This window comes from Homo sapiens, chromosome 11 (assembly GCF_000001405.40).
Source record: "Homo sapiens chromosome 11, GRCh38.p14 Primary Assembly".
Classification (NCBI taxonomy): domain Eukaryota; kingdom Metazoa; phylum Chordata; class Mammalia; order Primates; family Hominidae; genus Homo; species Homo sapiens.
In genome coordinates this window covers 68,328,324-68,345,722 of record NC_000011.10, presented here as the reverse complement: position 1 = coordinate 68,345,722, position 17,399 = coordinate 68,328,324, and the positions used below count along the sequence as shown (strand labels likewise).

The following is a 17,399-nucleotide window of genomic DNA, read 5'->3' as shown; positions in this document are numbered from 1 at the left end:
AACACAGAATTACCATATGACCCAGCAATTTCGCTTTGGGTTATATACCCAAAAGAACTGAAAACAGGGACACAATCAGATATGCATACACCTTGGATCACAGCAGCATCCTTCCCAACAGCTAAAACATGGAGGCAGCCAGGCATGGTGGCTCACGCCTGTAATCCCAGCACTTTGGGAGGCTGAGGCGGGTGGATCACCTGAGGTCAGGAGTTCGAGACCAGCCTGGCCAACATGGTGAAACCCCGTCTCTACTAAAATACAAAAATTAGCTGGGCGTAGTGACGGGCACCTGTAATCCCAGCTACTCACAAGTCTGAGGCAGGAGAATCACTTGAACCCTGGAGGTGGAGGTTGCAGTGAGCCAAGATTGCGCCACTGCATTCCAGCCTGGGTGACACAGCGAGACTCTGTCTCAAAAAACAGCAAAACAAAAACAAAAAAACAAACAAACATGGAAGCAACCCAAGCGTCCCTCTACTGAGGGATGAATAGCGGGGCAAAATCTGCTCCATCCACACAATGGAGTACTATTCAGTCTCAAAAAGGAAAAAGATTCTGGTCAGGCACGGTGGCTCATGCCTGTAATCCCAGCACTTGGGGAGGCTGAGGCGGGTGGATCACCTGAAGTCAGGAATTCAAGACCAGCCTGGCCAAGATGGTGAAACCCTGCCTCCACAAAAAATACAAAAATTAGCAAGGCATGGTGGCACGCGCCTGTAGTTCCAGCTGCTAAGGAGGCTGAGGCAGGAGAATTGCTTGGACCCAGGAGGCAGATGTTGCAGTGAACCGAGATCGTGCCACTGAACTCCAGTCTAGATGACAGAGCGAGACTCTGTCTGCAAAAAAAAAAAAAAAAAAAAAAAAAAAAAAGAGAGAGATTCTGACACATGCTACAACATGGATGAAACTTAAGAATGTTATGCTAAGTGAAATAAGCCAGATATAAAAAGACAAATACTTTATGATTCAATTTATATGAGGTACTTACGGTAGGCAAATTCATTGAGACAGAAAGCAGAATGGTGGGACCAGGGACTAGGGGAGGGAGACTGGGGACCTGCTTAAGGCGGCAAGTTTCAGGTGGGAATTAAAGAGTTCTGGGCCGGGCACGGTGGCTCACACCTGTCATCTCAGCACTTTGGGAGGCCGAGGCGGGCAGATCACTTAAGGCCAGGAGTTTGAGACCAGCCTGGCCAACATGACGAAACCTTGCCTCTACTAAAAATACAAAAATTAGCTGGGGCGTGGTGGCTCACGCCTGTAACCCCTGCTAGTCAGGAGGCTGAGGCAGGAGAATCACTTGAACCCGAGAAGTGGAGGTTGCAGTGAGCTGAGGTCACCCCATTGCACTCCAGCCTGGGTGACAGAGCGAGACTCCATCTCAAAAAGAAAAAGGAAAAAATAAAAAGAAATCAAAAAATGGGATGTTATAACTGCAGCGGAACTGGACATTGACCTCTCACAAAAGGAGATGGTCACAGCTAAGGCATTTATCTTCAGATCTCATCCCCTGCCTGCCCCAAACAGGTCCAAACAGATAACGAAGAAAACTCAGGGTCAAAGGCGACAACTATGCAGCTCACAGGCAGGGCCACCCAGGCTCCACCCCTACCCAGCCTGCGGGCGATGCACCCAGGCGCCACCCCTGACTGGGCTGCGGGTGAAGTCCCTCGGGCGGGGGAAGGCAGCTGCTCTGGAACACCAGCTGAGAGGTCTGCATTTCACCTGCACCACCCAGCCTGCAGGCACCCCAACTCCAAGACACTGAGTTCCCTCCACTCAGTGAGGGAGGAGCCCAGGTCCCTGCCCCCAGGCCCCGGCACATTCAGGGGAGTGCAGCACCCGCTACCAGGAGGTCTGGCCAACAGGTGCACCAAAGGATGAGATGGCAGCCGCGAGGGGGTCTGCAGGCACACAGGAATCACGCCCAGGATGCAGGAGCTCCTGGGGCCTTCCGAGACGGAAGCAGCACTGAGGCCTGAGGGCAGGAGGGGCCTTCGCTGGGAAGAGAGTTGTGTGTGAGACCCAGAGGGCACTGGTGGCACAAGCAGGTGGAACCATCACCAACAAGGACACCCGCGGCACACCCAGGCCAGGCAGCCCCCACACGGTGTGTTCCCACTCATCGTCCTGGCCGCCAGAGCAGGGATCACTTATACTCCCATTTTGTGAATGAGGCCAACTGTGCCCCATGCCCTGGCTGCTCCTGTGGCGAGGGCCCCCAGCTTGTCCCACTCACCAGTGAAGGTGTGATCCACCCAGGCTGAAATTCCTTGGTTCTTGGGGTCACAGGCCTTTTGAGAAACTGGTCCACCTCCTCAGACACACACACACACAAACACACACACACACAAATACACAGTGCTGTCGCCCAGGCCCCATGAAGTCCCCCTACCAGGGTGGACCCAGCTCCGGCCCGAGAGTCCCCTGCTAACACACGCACAGAGTGGGACTGGACACGGAACTTTCTACTCTAAATTAGCTTCCTTGGACAACAATGACATAGATTGTCTCGGGAGGCAGCGAGCCCCCACCACCGTGGGTGCTCAAGCAGGTGGGGGACCGGGCCTGCCAGGCCTGCACCTCACCAGGCAGACGCTGGCCCCAGTGTCTCTGATGCTGGAGGATCCCACAGACAACAGGCCTCCCATGGGCTGTATCTTCCAGGCAGGAGGGGAACCCGGGTAAAGGCAGGCATACCTGCCCTTAGGGGCAGTCCACAGTGGCCAGCAACCCAGTAAAACCTTCCCTATTACAGCTGGAGGTCCCAGCGGGGGGCCCTGGCCAGCCCAGCCGAGGGAGGCAGGAGCTCTTGGAAACCCTGGGTACAAAAGCCCCAGCTCTGCCCTGCTTCTCCCCAAACTGGAAAGACCACATTTCACCACGGTTTACACTCTCGGCTGTTCAGATGCATTCTTCAAAGGCCAGAGATGGAGGTGTTTTTTAATTTGCTGTGCTTTTCCCAACCCACACCGGGGGAGGCCAGGAGAGCCGGGCAGGAGCGGCAGGCCCCAGGGACATCTGTGGGCACAGCCAGGGTAAGGCCCGCTGTGGCAGGCAGGCTCTTTCCAGGAGCCGCTCCGGCTTCTAAGGCACTTAGAAGCAACCACACACTCAATTCCTAAGTTTAAGAGGAAGCCACATCACTCTCCCACCACCTGGGGAGCTGGCTTTCCTTTGGAAGGAACTGGCAGTGGCCCCAGGGTCCACAGCAAATGGGAGAGCTCTGTGTGGGTGGCCCCTGCCCTTCCCCAGCAGGCAAAGATGGCACCTCCTCTTCTGCTCCCCCTCCTCCCTACCAGGGCCTGTGGAACTCTGGGTGATGGGGGATCCTGTCACTGGAGGGCCTCGCACCAAGGCCCTACAGCCCCCTCTTCTCCAAAGGGGAAAGGAGCCCTGACAAAGAAAACCCAGCCTTTGGTGGGGAGAGGGGAGAACGTGGCAGGAGCAGAACCCGACGGGAGGGAGAGAGAACAGCAGAGTAGCAGAGTAGAAGGGAAGGGCCGGCTCCGTAGCTCACACCTATAATCCCAGCACTTTCCGAGGAGAGAGGATCATCTCAGGCCAGGAGTTCAAGACCAGCCTGGGCAACACAGCAAGACCGCATCTCTACAAAAACTTCTTTTAAAGCTTAAAAAAAAAAAAAAAAGCAAAGAGGACAGTTCAGGAGAAAAGCCTGTAGAGGCAGCACACTAAGGAGGAGACGCAGCCCAGGCACCAGGAGGGGCTGGCCATGGGCACTCACTCCTCCAGCAGGCGAGTGCCCAGCACCAGCTGGCCCACCCAGACACCCAGGACACGGCCTGAATGGCTCCGTATTCACGTGGGTGGTAATAAACAAGCAATACACATAGCCAATAAGGACACCTTAGTAATGTTACATCATAAACGCTGCAGATCAGGGAAATGGTGCAGGGTGAAGTGGGTCGGGGGGCTGCATGCTACATGAGAAGTGGGTCGGGGGGCTGCATGCTACCTGAGACAGAGCAGGCCTTGCTGGGAAAGAAGGAGCCGGCAGGCCTGGGCAAAGGTCCTGGGGTGGGAGCACACTGGAGCAGAGTGTGGGGGTAGCATGGCGGGTGCTGGTCCTCTGGGCGCCTTCCCACCACGTCATGTGCCCATGTGCCCAAGGTCTCTCGTTTCACAGCCCCCTGAAGCTCAGGGGTCACAGCTACACAGCCCCCAGATACCTTGGCCTGCCCCAGGTCATTCCATCCAGTGATGGACCTGCTGACCTCTAGCCTGACCTCTGGGCAGCGTAATTTGAGAAGGAGGAGAAGGGAGGGCAACAGACCTGGGGCGATGAGGGATGCACAGGGTGGCAGACACCTGAGGCTGCACCTTGGAGCCTCAGTTCTGGGTGTGGGTGGGGGATGGACAGGCTGAGGGCTGAAGCAGCTGGGCCCGGCCACCATCACACCCCAGGACCCACCAGATCACCATGAAAAACCGAATGTCAACTGGCAGCCCAGAGTGCAGAACAAACCTTTCAGAAACACGGTGGTGACTGCCGCATCATGAACATAAAATAATTACGCCCTCTCCCCAGGGATCACCCCTGCAGGAGTCTGTCCCAAGAAACACCAGAAAGAAGGAAAACGTCTGAGTCACAATATTTGCTGAGGCCTTATTTGTAATAGCAAAAAAAAAAAAAAAAAAAGAACAATCTCCAGCGGCAGGGGTAACTAGACTATTGTCTCCGTGGAAAGGTAGCACCAATTAACTAGTAACAAAATGACTGCGGTAACAACAAAACGTTCGACATGTCAACACCAAAAACCACACACCCAGCATAACCGTGAACCATGATTTCTACTAGAATGAATGGCAGTTATGAGAAAGCACCAGCGGAGACAAAGATTGAAAAAGTAAAGGTGGCCTCATTAGGGAGACAAGTCTCTGGGTAATATATTGTAATACTGGTAAATATATAGTTTTTAATATATTTTTTAATTCCAAATTCCATATATGTTCCTATGAAGCTATTTCTGCAAATATTTTTTTCAGGACCGTACATCACAAAGGCAAAAGGGCCAGGTCAGCTCTCCAGCTGAGAGTGACCACTTCAGAGCAGACGGCAGACTCCAGGGTTAGCAAGCCTGGCTGAGACCTGGCCCATGACAATCACTCAACCCCTCTGACCTCAACATCCTGTCTGTGAAATGGGGATAATTACTGCACCTCCACATCACAGAGTGCGAGGCTTAAACAGGATGCTTCATAGAAAAGCGCTCAAGAGGTAACAGCCGGGAGGGGGTAGTGGTTTTCATTAATTAAATGTTGCCTTCATCCAGCCCTGGGCCAGCTCCAACACAAAGCACACACCATCCACTCAGACTCAGTTGCCTGGATTCAAAGCCTGGCCTGGCCTCCAGCTGTGAGATTCCGGGCAGGATTTCCCATCTCCCAGAGCCTCAGTTTCCTCATTCATGAAACAGGAAGTGATCATTCCTTTTATTTTTATTTTTATTTTTATTTTGAGACGGAGTTTCACTCTAGTTGCCCAGGCTGGAGTATGATGGCGCAATCTCAGCTCACTGCAACCTCGGCCTCCCAGTTTCAAGCGATTCTCCCACCTCAGTCTCCTGAGTAGCTGGGATTACAGGCACACGCCACCACGCCCAGCTAATTTTGTATTTTTAGTAGAGACGGGGTTTTGCCATGTTGGTCAGGCTGGTCTCGAACTCCTGACCTCAGGTGATCCGCCCGCCTTGGCATCCCAAAGTGCTGGGATTACAGGTGTGAGCCACCAAGCCCAGTTGACAACTGCTTTTAAAGACACCTCTGGCTGCTGTGGAAAACAGCCTGGTAGTGCCTCAAAAAGTTACACATAGAATGATCCTATGACCAGTAATTCCACTCCTACATATATACCCAAAAGAACTGAACCCCTCTACTCATGTATGTACACATACAGGTACACGCATGTTAACAGCAGTGTTCACAAAGCCAAAACATGGAAACAGCTCAAATGTCCATAACCGATGAACGGATAAATGAAACGTAGTCTATTCACCACCTGACGGAGGTGAGAGGGGCCATAAAAAGGAATGATGCATAAAAACGAATATTATGGCCAGGTATGGTGGCTCACGCCTGTAATCCCAGGACTTTGGGAGGCTGAGGCGGGCGGATCACGAGGTAAGGAGTTCGAGACCAGCCTGGCCAACACGGTGAAACCCCATCTCTACTAAAAATACACAAATTAGCTGGGCATGGTGGAGGGCGCCTGTAATACCAGCTACTCCGGAGGCTGAGGCAAGAGAATCCCTTGAACCTGGGAAACAGAGGTTGCAGTGAGCTGAGATTGCACCACTGCACTCCAGCCTGGGCGACAGACCAAAATTCCGTTTCGGAAAAAAAAGAAAAAATTAGCCAGGTGTGGTGGCGGGTGGGTCCCTGTAATCCCAGCTCTACTTGGGATACTGAGGCAGGAGAACCACTTGAACCCGGGAGGTGGAGGTTGCGGTGAGCTGAGATTGTGCCACTGCGCTCCAGCCTGTGTGACAGAAGGAGACTCTGTCTCAAAAAAACAAAAACAAAAAAGGCCCGACGCGGTGTCTTACACCTGTAATGCCAACACTTTGGGAAGCCAAGGCAGGCAGATCATCTGAGGTCAGGAGTTTGAGAGCAGCCTGGGCAACACGGTGAAACCCCATCTCTACTAAAAATACAGAAATTAGCCAGGTGTGGTGGCACATGCCTGTAATCCCAGCTACTCGGGAGGCTGAGGCAGGAGAATCGCTTGAACCCAGGAAGCGGAGGTTGCAGTGAGCCGACATTGCACCATTATACTCCAGCCTGGGTGACAGAGTGAGATTCTGTCTCAAAAAAAAAAAAAAAAAAAAAAAACTAAACAAAAGCAAAAAAACCAATGAGTAATGTTGTCAAGTGAACTTCATCCCAATGGGAATGCAGATAATTTGTTTAAAAGGCACCATGCACACTGGGCAGGCTGGCTTCCCCTGGGAACGTCTTCTTTTGCCTGGATTCCCAGTTGGTTTAATCGGGCGTAGAACACTTTCTTCAATCCGGGATTCAGGCACCCCTGCTCAGCACAAACTCAGTACACCCCGCACTCTGCTGTGGGTTCTTGGCACTATTAGGAGAATGTGAGGGGGTGATTCAGATCTATCTCTAGTGGGTGCATGTCTGCCACTCCCAGGAACGCCCACTTCTGGCAAGTCAGTGTCAGAGAAAGGCCAGCTCGTGGCCCCTCCTGCCTTGAGTCCCAGGACCCGTGATCAGTCCTACCCGGAGCAGAATCAGGAGTTTGAAAACCCAAGTGCCAACAATCTCATTTTAACCCATGTAAGCATATCCAATATTTATATATAGAATTCATAACAGATGTCTGGGCTTCCATTCCAATAGCCTATATTTTACACTGTTTATTTACATGGTTACACCAAACAAGACTCAATTCAAGGTAACCCAATCCTTTGCTACTATACCAAAATAAGCAACATTTTCAGTCCATGCCTTATATATATTCACCAAGCATTACACTAGGCCTCCAACTGCTCATCGGAGCAAGCTGCAGCCTGGACACAAGCTAGAGATTAATCAGTCAGGAATGATCCTGCGTCCAGTGCCAGCATGATGGAAGAGACAGAGAAACAGAAGACATCAGGGCTCCAGAGTCAAGGAGCCTGCAGGTTAGTTGGGCAGGATATACACACATACACACACACACGCACACACAAAACCACCCAAGAAGAAAAGGTGGGATGAATGCATGGACAGGTAATGCCTGGAGCCTGGGGATGGATAAGCTGACTGCAGGTGGCCCAGGCAGGCTTCCTGGAGGAAGAAGACCTGGCTGTAGGTGGGGTAGGCAGGCTTTCTAGATGGGGAAGATCTGGCTGTGGGTGGAGTTGGCAGGTTTCCGAGAGGAGGAAGAGCTGACTATGGGTACACCTGGCTGTTGGTGGACCAGGCAGGCTTCTTGGAGGAGGAAGATCTGGCTGTGGGTGGATCAGGCAGGCTTCTTGGAGGAGGTAGACCTGACTATGGGTGGACCAGGCAGGCTTCCTAGAGGAAGAAGACACGGCTGTGGGTGAACCAGGCAGGCTTCCTAGACAGAGGAAGATCTGGCTGCGGTTAGAGTGGGCAGGCTTCTAAGAAGAGGAAGGGCTGACTGTGGGTAGACCTGGCTGTGGGTAGACTGGGCAGGCTTCCTGGAGGAGGAAGAGCTGGAGCATTGAAAAACAAACATGACTTGGTGAATGTTGAGCATGCCCAGGCCTGATCCCCAGAGGCAATTACGCACTCAAGTTACTTAATTCTACTCACAATGCCTCACAAACAACTTCTCTGACACCTAACACAGCTCTGGGCACCTTCTAGCTTCAGCTCCTCAAAGCAGTTATTCACGCTACTACCCTGCACACCTCCTCACACCCCAACCCCAGGGACAGGAGTTCTGCCAGATGCCAAAGCTCCTGATGCCAAAGCCTGGGTCTGCTTCCGGGCTCCTCTTGGTCTAACTGTCCACCCCGCATCGGCATGATGTGCAAAAACAAGGCTTTGCAATCTGCCCTGATGCCTGGCGGAGCGAGTCCCTCCCGATTCGTCTCCTTCAGAAACACCTGGGCTGCCCTGGTCCTGTTATACCCCCAACACATTCTACAGTCAGCTCCGCAAGTTCCACAAAGATCAACGCTGGCGTTTTTATGGCATTTTATTTACAGTTTTTACAATATAAAAAAGGAAGGATGCCACAGCTCAGCCAGCAGGACAGACAGAGATCTATGATGCTTCTGCTGCACCATTGTTTGTGGTCAAGAAAGTCTGTTTTCAATGATTTATTAAATTGTGGTGGGAGATGGATGGTGGCAGTGGTTACCAGCAACATGAATGTTCTTAATGCCACTGAACTTCACGCTTACAAATGGTTACGACGATAAGTGTTATATGTATTTTACCACAATTAAAAACAGGTAAATGCAGGCCGGGCACGGTGGCTCACGACTGTAATCTCAGCACTTTGGGAGGCCAAGGCAGGCAGATCACCTGAGGTCAGGGGTTCGAGACCAGTCTCGCCAACACGGTGAAACTCTGTCTCTATTAAAAATACAAAAATTAGCCAGATGTGGTGGTGCATGCCTGTAATCCCAGCTTCTCAGGAGGCTGAGGCAGGAAAATAGCTTGAAACCGGGAGGCAGAGGTTGCCATGAGCTGAGATTGTACCATTGCACTCCAGCCTGGGTGACAAAAGCAAAACTCTGTCTCAAAAAAATAAAATAAAATAAAAATAGGTAAATGCAAACATATGGTATAGTAATATTATGGGCTATTATGAGCTACAAAAAAGAATGACTTGGGACTACAGTTACAGCCCTCATTCAGGAATTTGTTTTAAATGTGGGTTGGTCGCTAAGGCATGTACACAACATTTTGACGTTCAAATATTCCTAGATTTGGACAGTGAGCACCCCTCTAAGCTGGCTCTTCTGTCCCAGAGGTCCCCACCAGTCCTCCAGAACTTCTTTGCTTTCTTACACAATAAGATGCCCCATGCTCGGCTTGTACCTTTCCTTGCCCCAGCCCTAGAACCAGCTTCTTCGTGGACAAGCTCTGACTCCTTTGGGTGGAGAATGGTATTCAGAAACCCAGACCTGGGCTCTGGTGTGCTCACTGCTACTTGGGGTCATTGCTTCTAGGCCTCTCTGCTGATGGAGGTAGGATATACACGTACAGTCTTCCCTCTTCCCAGATTCCGTACTTGAGCTCGCCTACTTGCTAACATTTATTTATATCCCCCAAATTAAACCTCACAGCACTTCTGCAATCACTCACTGACTTGCAGAGTGTGAAAAAACTGAGTCACCATCACACGTTCCAAACTGAGGTCAACTGAGGCCACAACGCCCCATCTTCTTGCTCCGGCTGTCGAGATGTAAGCAAGTGTCCTTCTCTCGGTCTAGCTAGTGCCATGCTTTCCACATCACTGTGCTTTTTGTGGGCAATTTTGCTGTATAAAATGTCCCCTGCACATATGCTGCTGTGTAGTGCTCCTAGGTGCATGAGGCTGCCCCACGCCTTACAGAGAGAATATGCATGAGAGGCTTTATTCAGGTATGAGTTATAGCGTAGTTGGCCATGAATTCAATGTTAATGAATCAACAATATACAGTAAATAAGGTGCTTTTTAGAGACAGGGTCTCACTCTGTCACCCAGGCTTTAGAGTCCAGTGGTGTGACCTTGGCTCACTGCCGCCTCAACCTCCTGGGCTCAAGTGATCCTCCCACCTCAGCCTCCCAAACTGTTGGGATTACAGGCGTGAGCTACTGCACTCAGCCTAAATAAGGTGTCTTAGAAACACACATAAGACAAGGTTATGGGCTGAGTGCGGTGGCTCATGCCTGTAATCCCAACACTTTGGGAGGCCAAGGTGGGAGGTTCACTTGAGGCCAGAAGTTTGAGACTAGCCTGGGCAACATGGCAAGACCTCATCTGTATATTTTTTTAAATCAGACAGGTGTGGTGGTGCATGCCTATAGTCCCAGCTACTGGAGAGGCTGAGGCAGGAAAATGGCCTGAGCCCAGGAGGTCAAGGCTGCAGTGACCCATGATTGTACCACTGCATTCCAGCCTGGGGTGACACAGCAAGACGCTGTCTTAAAAAAAAAAAAAAAAAAAGCCAGGTCAGGTATCGAACAGTTGGCAAAAACGTTGTGACCTGAGGCTCACAGGAACCTAGCCCGATGTTTCCCCTAGGAGCAATGGTTCAGTATTCAATAATTCAGGGTTCCCAGTGACTTTATGGAGCATAACTTTCAAGAATAACAAGAACCAACTGTACGTGTGTATGTATACTCACACTTTTATTTTATTTTATTTTATTTTTTGAGACAGAGTCTCACTCTGTCACCCAGGCTGGAGTAAAATGGCGTGATCTCGACTCACTGCAACCTCCGCCTCCCAGGTTCAAGTGATTCTCAGCCTCCCAAGTAGCTGGGATTACAGGTGTGCCCCCACAACCGGCTAATTTCTGTATTTTTAGTAGAGACGGAGTTTCGCCACATTGGCCACGCTGGTCTCAAACTCCTAACCTCAAGTGATCCACCCACCTCAGCCTCCCAAAGTGCTGGAATTACAGGCATGAGCTGCCGTGCCTAGCCTACATACACTTTTATACACACATGCATCTATGACTATTTCTCTATTTCTGTGCATGTGTGTGTGGCAGTACCTACAGTTTCAGCTATGTGTCTGGGTACTGTCTCGTCCAAGTTTGTAAGCACCTTCTCCAAAGTGCAAAGCCTGGCTTGTGTTACTATCCATATGTTTACTTATTTGCTCAATCAATTTACTTATTAGCTCCATAACCAGCTTCCCATCTGCTCCAGTAGCCTCTGCTGTCAGTCACCTCTGCACCCTACCCCACCTTGCTTCCGGATGCTGGATGCCAATCACCCCCGACACCTCTACATAGCACCACCCTCGACATGCTGCTTCTTTATTTCTTATTTATTTGTTTGAGATGGAGTCTTACTCTGTTGCCCAGGCTGGAGTGCAGTGGCACGATCCAGGCTCACTGCAACGTCCGCCTCCTGGGTTCAAGTGATTCTCCTGCCTCAGCTTCTCAAATAGCTGGGATTACAGGTGCCCACCACCACGCCCAGCTAATTTTTGTATTTTTAGTAGAGATGGGGTTTCACCATGTTGGCCAGGCTGGTCTCGAACTCCTGACCTCAAGTGATCCACCTTGGCCTCTCAAAGTGCTGGGATTACAGGTGTGAGCCACCGCGCCTGGTCTGCTTCTTTAAATGCCAGGCACCAACATTTGTGCAATGGGGTGGGAGGAAAGAACAGGGAGGAGAGCGCACTGCCGGCCCCTGCACTGAATCCACTGATCAATCTGGGGGCAACTGCCATCTCCATCTCCTGTCTTCCTATCCGTGAACATCTACTGCAGTCCTCTCCAATGTCCTTCTGTAAAGTTGTATTATGTTTTGCATACAGGCCTTGCATATTAGTTCTCAGATATAATCCATATACTTTATATAAAATTCAAACCACATTTAAAAAAATAAAACTAGCATGACTATAACGGAGTCTGCAACATTCTCACAGACTTTATGATAAAACATGAAACTTCAAAGATACTTAGGGTGGGGCAGGGACAATGTTTAAGGCTGCCTGGAAGCCTCCCCATCCCTGAGCCAGAAAGTCCTATCTCCCCTTCAAGGGGAAATGCTTGAAAAAGCACTGATCAGGCTAAAATGACAGGGACCAGGGAGAAATCAAAGTACAAGTGAGCTGGTCTCCTCCATTCTGAGCACAGCAAAGTTCAGTCTCTCCAAGTCCAAGAATCATACACCTGTTTGCCAAGAATGAAGTTCAGGTGTCTACAAGTGGCTGAAAATATTCATTGCTGGGCCATTAACAACATTCTTGGCAAAACCATACCTTAGCTTCTCGTGGAAATTTCTTAAGGTAGAAGAAACAGGAAACACCCAGGCTCGCTTTTATGTAGACAGTTCCATGAAGCCAGGGACCTTCCCCACATCCACGTTTCAATTACCTGCACGCAGCTCACAGTGTATTCAACATCTACGCGTCTCTCCTACTGGGGTGGCGGTGGCCACTCAAACCCTCATGCAGCTACGATGACCGCAATTTTGGCAACATAATTTCATGTTTTTCCTTGGGCTTTTACCCAAGTCAGTGACACAATTCTGCAGTTGTCTAAAGATTCAAAATGAGGGACTTGACATTTACAACAATAATAAAATCTTGGGTTTCCTTTAACCAAGCACATGTTCTGCCTTTTAGAGAAAGCTCTGCAAACTCAAGCTGGAGTGGGATACTTGCTGACATCTTCAAGCACCCCAGGAATAGCTCTACTCCCCCATTTCCACCTTGGCTGAACCATCTATATCCCACCAATTCCCCCAACATCCCTCCATCCGTCCATCCATCCACCCAAGGACCTGCTAAGCCAGGAGGTCTCTCCCATCTACCCCACAGCCTGGCCTCAGCCCACAAGGGCTCTCTCTACATGAATCCCACCGCACCAGAGTAGACCAAGTCTCCCGTAGACTCCACCCTGACCACCTCCATGCCTCCAGCCATTCCCACCCCTAAAAACCCTCCCTGGTCTCTACACCCAGCTGATGAATACTTGGCTGAATGTGACCTGGCCTCCTGGACCCAGGTGAAGCCCACGTCCTCCGTAAGCCCGCCAGCTCACCCTGCCTCTGCACCTTCACTGGAGAGAGCCCGCACTTCACCTCCTCAGGGCAGGCATGGCTGATGCCACCCAGTGGAACCTGGTGCAGAGCAGGGCCCGGTGCAGAGCAGGGCTGCCTGCAGAGCAAGGCCCGGGTGCTGGGGCCGAGCACCTCCAATGCTGGCCGTGGACCCATCCCTCCCATTCCAGGTGCTGTCTCCATCAAGAATGAGCGAGCTGCTGACATTTGCATGACAATAATGAATAAATACCATATTTTGCTTCAAATCCAGAATAGATGTGGCCAGGGTTGGCATATGACTGTTGGGAAAGGACAGTTTGCCTCTTCCCAAACCAACTTGGATTATAAAAAGCTTTTCTTAACGACCACAAGAGCGGAGGAGCTCAGGGGCAGACAAAAGGAAGGCTGGCTGCAGAAGGCGGGAGAGTGGGGCCTTCAGGGGCGGGTGGGGAGAGAGAAAGCCTGGAGCTGCACCCCCAAGGTCTGTGTACATCAGGTGCTACAGAATAACACCACCTCTTCCAGCTTGGCCCCCACCTGCCCTCTCCCAGCCCAGTCACCCAGACAGCACCCCACTCCCCACACACACCTCACATCTGCCCGCCTCACACTCACCAGCTTCGGCTCTCAATGCAACCTGGAACCTGCCCTTGGCCTCTCAGCTCAGCCACCCCCATTCCTGTTGGCCCCTGGCCCCCCATCGAATTCTCTCTAATCCTAATGCACACACTTGCACACTCAAACACACACACACACACACACACACACACACAGCCCAGAGGAAAACCATAATTGACTGAGGTCCAGGCAAGTTTCCCGAGCAGGGACCACATTTCAAAGGTCAGGGAAGCAGGCGAACAGGAAACATACAGGGGGCACGTTTGGGGGTGGAGCAGGAAATAAGAAATCACTTGCAAAAGATAAAAAGAAAATGAGGTAGCTGGTTTCAGACACCTCGGAGCACACAGAACAGGACAGGCGCCTCCGGGTCTTCCCTCAACAGGGAGATGGGCCAGGCAGGTCCCTGCTGCTCCACCGCAGAGCTGGGGGCTATGGCCCTGACACCAAGGCCCTGGGGCAGGCGGGGAGGCAGCTGTTCTCCTGCCTGTGCTCCCGGGCAGGGCCTGGCCCCACAAGGGAACTGGCCGAAGGCTCTGCTTGGCTACTCCGGAAAGTCCTGGGAGACAAGCAAAGGACTTGCTAGGTCACTCCAAACGGCCCAGATGTGACAACTGTGAAGAAGCCACACCAAAGCAAGGTGACAGAACAGTGTTGGTGACGTCAGGTTATCAGCTTAGGCACAACTCCACTTACCCGGACTCACCCGTAACCTGCCGTCTCTTCCCAACCAGTAAAGGATGCCTAGGTAGAGGGGCACAAGGCCTGGAGCATAATTACCATTTTAAAGGCTCTGAGAAGTCCTGCGGTGAGGAAGCCTAGTTCACTTTCTCTCCCCTAGGATTTCCCAACTGCGCCTGATCACAGAACATTTTTTCATTTCCACTCAGGAAACATATTTTGAAAAACACTGGCCTAGAGGCAGAAGTGAAATGGAAAACACAAAAGTAAAACTGAACAGGAGGCACTGGGCAGAGAACGGTCAGAGGCGCCCTGAATCCTGGACCGGTGGAGATCCCCAGCTTGGCATGCTCCCCTCCCTGGGCCCAGACCGCCTCCCCCCATTTCCTGGATAAGAAGGCTAATGCGCATCAGGGTGAAGGGCTTGCCTGGGCTACACCCCCAGGCTCGCCCCACACCAATCGCGCTCCTGCGAGAGCCAGTGACTTTCTTGATTTGGCTACTGTGGAATTGTTTGCAACTAACCACCCCAGATACAGATACAAATGACAGGATGATCAGATGTAAAGGACCCACAGGTCTCTGTGATACGGCTTCATGCAGCCAGCATGGCTAGTGCCGTGCAGAATGAGAATGACCCCAGGCAAGTCCTTGCCTCCCAGACCCAGAACCCCATGGAGCCCACCAGGGCTGGTTCACAAGCACTGTCTGGGTCGGGCAGAGATTCCAGCAAGAGGAGGGAACATCCATGCACCGGAGCCAGTTACCAGAAGCAAATCGCCTCTTCCAAAACCCAGGCTATTAATGGAGTCCACTGTTGAGTGGAGCTGGGGTCTAGCTATGGAATACTGCACAGCAGAGATCTTCCTGAGAGAAAGCAGTTTTCCCTGAAAGCCATGTGTCCTCCACTAACTGTGTTTTAATTGGGCGAACGTCTGTATCTCATTGCAGTGGCCGCGCATGTGCTGACAAGGGGCTGGGGGCGGGGTGGGGAGCAGAAGCTCAGGGGCCTGGGAGGGAAGGAAACAGGCCACCAGGGCTCCCCAGAAGGCATGTATCTCTCTCACAAACACACGCATGCACACACACGTGCACACATACTCTGCAAGCCCTGAGTTAGCAACTGTGGAATGTGACCAGCTCAGTGATCCCAGGACAAGCTGCTAGGGAATATGACATTTGATTGATGTCTGCAAATGTGCGTTTTCACTAATTAGAAGGTTTAGGGCAGAGCAGAGAAAAATATGTATTTCAGAGTCCCAGTTTGACCTGCCAGAAACCAGCCCATTACTAACATTCTTATTTTCAACAAAATATAGCATTCTGATTACATACCATCTTGGTTCCACGCCTCCTGCCTTGCCAAGCCCCCGGAAGCGGCCCAAGGCCATGGCAAATAGTGAGAGAAACAGTTCCAGGGTGGAGACTGACTCAGGGGTGTCAGTCAGTGGGGCGCTGATGGCCGGTGGGAGGCCAGCAGTCATCACCCTCTCCTTGGGACAGTTGAGTAGCTCTCCCCCAGGGTCATGTGGCCACTCAGGTTCATATGGGAGGCGAGAGGAGTGGCAGAGTCCAGGAGAGTGGCTCCGAAGTCACTGTTCCCTCCAGGCCTCAGTGTCTTCATCCATTAAATGGGCAGGCTGAGGTCTGGGATGACAAGGAGGGCTTGCACTTACTGAAACCCATGGGAGGCTGTTCGCCGATTTCTTTTATTGATGGAAGAAAACACTCGTATAATTCAAGTACCAATTAAAAGGCAGGCACTGGAACCACCGTCTGCCAATTCCTAGTTTTGCCTATACCAAATTTGAGCAAGTTAATTGACCTCTCCCAGCCTCAGTTTCTTCGTCTGTAAAATGAGGGTAGGGATGGCCCCCAGCCCACAGGGCAGCTGGAAGGATTAAAGAAATCAAACATCTCTTAGAGCCCACCTGGCACACTGTGATACACAACAAATGTTAGCTATTTTTGTCTATGAAGTCTAGATTTTATATCTTGGGTGTTCTAAAGCAGGATACATTTATTTAAAAACAAGGATTTTCATTAAACACGTACCCCACAGACAGCAACCCCATGGAGACTGCTCTTAATTCAGGCCAGTATCGAAACGACTCTAACTACAAGCTTTATACAGGTCTCTTGGCTGTCCTTCAAATCCAACTAAGGTGGTACTTCTGAAGCACTGTGCACATGTGTGTGTGCATGCACACGTGTGGGAAGGGCGGGCTCACGGATCCCTCAGGTACCCCACCCACGCAGTCTCAAGTCACAAAGCGACAGAGCAGCCGAGGAAGGTCTGTGCCCCACTGGACCCTCGTGAAGCCACCAACTCTACCTCTGCGCCGTGTCCTGCAGACTGGGCTACCCTTTGGGTGGGGACCAGCATTTGATGCAAGAAAGGCAGACAGAAAAGGAAAAGGGCAAGTTCGACTCCAGATAACACAGACAGTACCAAGCCCCAGGGTCCATAAATGCCACGCAGATGGAAGCATTTACTGCGAGGCCACACAGCAAACGCACGGATCCAGGGACGGAGGTGCAGACTGCGGTGCCCCTGAGCCATGACCCTGCAAATTACCACCATGGGAAAGGAGGCTGCCAAACCCCCCGACAGTCGGCTGGGCTGGCACAGACTCGTGGTTTCCATCGAGGTGGGAGGAGGTGGGACGTCCCAGCCCCTCCCCCATGCCCACTGCAGAGGGAAGCGGCCGTTTCCCCTGTGTGGTTACAAAGGTCTCATTGTTCTTCCTCACAGGGAGGAAACTGGAGGACCGAGCTCAGAACGCATTTTAGAACTGGCAGAAAAGAACATCTGGGGAAGGAAACACATTTCAGAAACAAACATACCTTTGTACCAGCTTTTATTTTCTTTAAGTGTTGAAAAAATAATAATA

The 17,399-nt window shown here is 51.3% G+C and overlaps 1 protein-coding gene and 1 long non-coding RNA gene across 13 annotated transcripts in view, besides 4 other annotated features; one reads left to right on the top strand and one right to left on the bottom strand.

The window, feature by feature from the left end:
* The window catches only part of LRP5 (LDL receptor related protein 5), a 150,864-nt gene that overhangs the window by 103,553 nt on the left and 29,912 nt on the right, over positions 1-17,399 (bottom strand). The gene's annotated exons all lie outside the window — the stretch shown is intronic.
* Positions 2,136-2,987: an enhancer, noted in NCBI's record as "H3K27ac-H3K4me1 hESC enhancer chr11:68110204-68111055 (GRCh37/hg19 assembly coordinates)". NCBI's record gives its function as "activates a minimal SCP1, AML or CMV promoter by ChIP-STARR-seq in naive H9 embryonic stem cells {active_cell/tissue: H9 hESC(naive)}" and the evidence as "EXISTENCE:reporter gene assay evidence [ECO:0000049][PMID:30033119]".
* LOC124902698 (uncharacterized) lies at positions 7,518-17,367 on the top strand. 3 transcript variants are annotated; one of them, XR_007062746.1, is made up of 4 exons: positions 7,518-7,661; positions 9,553-9,686; positions 9,786-9,904; positions 12,788-13,018. It is a non-coding gene; the product is annotated as an uncharacterized LOC124902698 (long non-coding RNA). The 3 variants fall into 3 exon arrangements; XR_007062748.1 differs by lacking the exons at positions 9,786-9,904; positions 12,788-13,018 and adding an exon at positions 17,261-17,367; XR_007062747.1 differs by lacking the exon at positions 9,786-9,904.
* Positions 12,757-13,332: an enhancer, noted in NCBI's record as "H3K4me1 hESC enhancer chr11:68099859-68100434 (GRCh37/hg19 assembly coordinates)". NCBI's record gives its function as "activates a minimal SCP1, AML or CMV promoter by ChIP-STARR-seq in primed H9 embryonic stem cells {active_cell/tissue: H9 hESC(primed)}" and the evidence as "EXISTENCE:reporter gene assay evidence [ECO:0000049][PMID:30033119]".
* Positions 16,791-17,368: an enhancer, noted in NCBI's record as "H3K27ac-H3K4me1 hESC enhancer chr11:68095823-68096400 (GRCh37/hg19 assembly coordinates)". NCBI's record gives its function as "activates a minimal SCP1, AML or CMV promoter by ChIP-STARR-seq in naive and primed H9 embryonic stem cells {active_cell/tissue: H9 hESC(naive and primed)}" and the evidence as "EXISTENCE:reporter gene assay evidence [ECO:0000049][PMID:30033119]".
* Positions 17,048-17,342: an enhancer, noted in NCBI's record as "tiled region #8382; HepG2 Activating DNase unmatched - State 1:Tss". NCBI's record gives its function as "activates a minimal TATA promoter and a strong SV40 promoter by Sharpr-MPRA in HepG2 cells {active_cell/tissue: HepG2}" and the evidence as "EXISTENCE:reporter gene assay evidence [ECO:0000049][PMID:27701403]".